Raw genomic sequence first — 1745 nt, forward strand, 5'->3', positions numbered from 1 at the left:
TTTTCAGCTATTTCTTTATATGACCTTGTATTCTGTTCATTCAGAGAATATAAACTGAGCACCTTGTCTAATGTAGACAGTATGCTAGAAACTAGGGAAATAGATGTAAAAGCCTAGTTGCTTCTTGCACTCCAAAGAACTCACTCTTCTGACAGTCACAGGCCCACAGGCAGACAATTGTATGTGAAAAGTATTATGGGACTTCAGAGAGAATGCCAGTCAAGGCTTTCTAGAGGAATTGATATATCAGACAATAAAATATTCCCTAAAATAAAAAATCCATGGGTTGGGTGTGGTGGCTCATGCCTGTAATCCCAGCAATGTAGGAGGGCAATGTGGGCAGATCACTTGAGCCCAGGAGTGTGAGACTAGTCTGGGAAACATGGCGAAATCCCATATCTACTAAAAATATAAAAAACTACTTAGGCATGGTGGTGCATGCCTGTAGTTCCACCTACCCAGGACATTGAAGTGGGAGGATCACCTGAGCCTGGGAAGTTGGGGGAGCAGTGAGCCTTATTGTGCCACTGTACTCCAGCCTGGGCAATGGAAGTAAGACCCTGTCCCACCCCCCCACAAAAAAAATACATACATATATACATATATATATATATAGAGAGAGAGAGAGAGAGACATATAAACATTAAGATATATTATGAAATATTTGCATTCCTTCACCCTTTAAAAACATGATTAACTACTATGTGCCAGGATATTTAAAATTTTATGCTCTCATGGAGCTTGTGTTCTAATGGTGGGAGACAGACAATAAAAACATGAATACACAGCACATATCTATGGCTTAATAGTTTCAATGGGGAAAGGTAATGAATATTGGGAGGAAAAGGGGACAATAGCGACTGTTCTCAAAGAAAAAGTATGAAAGATTTTGAGGCCAGGCATGGTGGCTCACGCCTGTAATCCAAGACCTTTGGGAGGCTGAGGCGGGCAGATCACCCAAGGTTGGGAGTTCGAGACGAGCCTGGCCAACATAGTGAAACCCCATCTCTACTAAAAATACAAAAATTAGCCAGGCATGGTGGTGCACATCTGTAATCCCAGCTACTCAACAAAGGGAGACTGTCTCAAGAAAAAAAAAACATTTGAAGTGGGTTAAAAGATTAGCGAGCATTCTATCTAATGTACCCTTTCAAGTTATCTCTGTCTTTCACTGCTTTTTAGCTAATTTAAAGTTTTATAAATCTTAGAGTACTGGTAATAATAAAAATAACATGCATGAAAACACTATAGAACAAATGAACCTAACACATCCAGAGCACTCCATCCAACAGCGCCAAGATGCACATTCTTCTCAAATGCTCTTGGAATATTCTCCAAGATGGATCACATGCTAGGTCACCTGTTTTGTGAGAGATTTAAGAAGATTGAAATCATTCTAAGGATTTTTTTCTGAACACAATGAAGGAACTAAAAACCAGCGACAAAAGGAAAATGAAAAAAAAAGCACAAATATATGGAAATTAAACAACAGACTTTTGAACAATCATTGGGTCAAAGTAAACATCAAAAAGGAAATTACAAATACTTCAATACAAATGAAAACAAAACAAAACTTACCCAAACTTGTGGGGTGCAGCAAAACAGGTAGTTAGAGAGAAGTTTGTGGAGATACTAAAAGGGAAGTTTATGGAGAAATACCTTCATTAAAAATGAAAAAAGATCTCAAATAAGCAACCTAACTATACATCTCAAGGAGCTAGAAAAAAACAAGTTGAACTAAGCAC

Source organism: Homo sapiens, chromosome 11 (assembly GCF_000001405.40).
Source record: "Homo sapiens chromosome 11, GRCh38.p14 Primary Assembly".
Classification (NCBI taxonomy): Eukaryota; Metazoa; Chordata; class Mammalia; order Primates; family Hominidae; genus Homo; species Homo sapiens.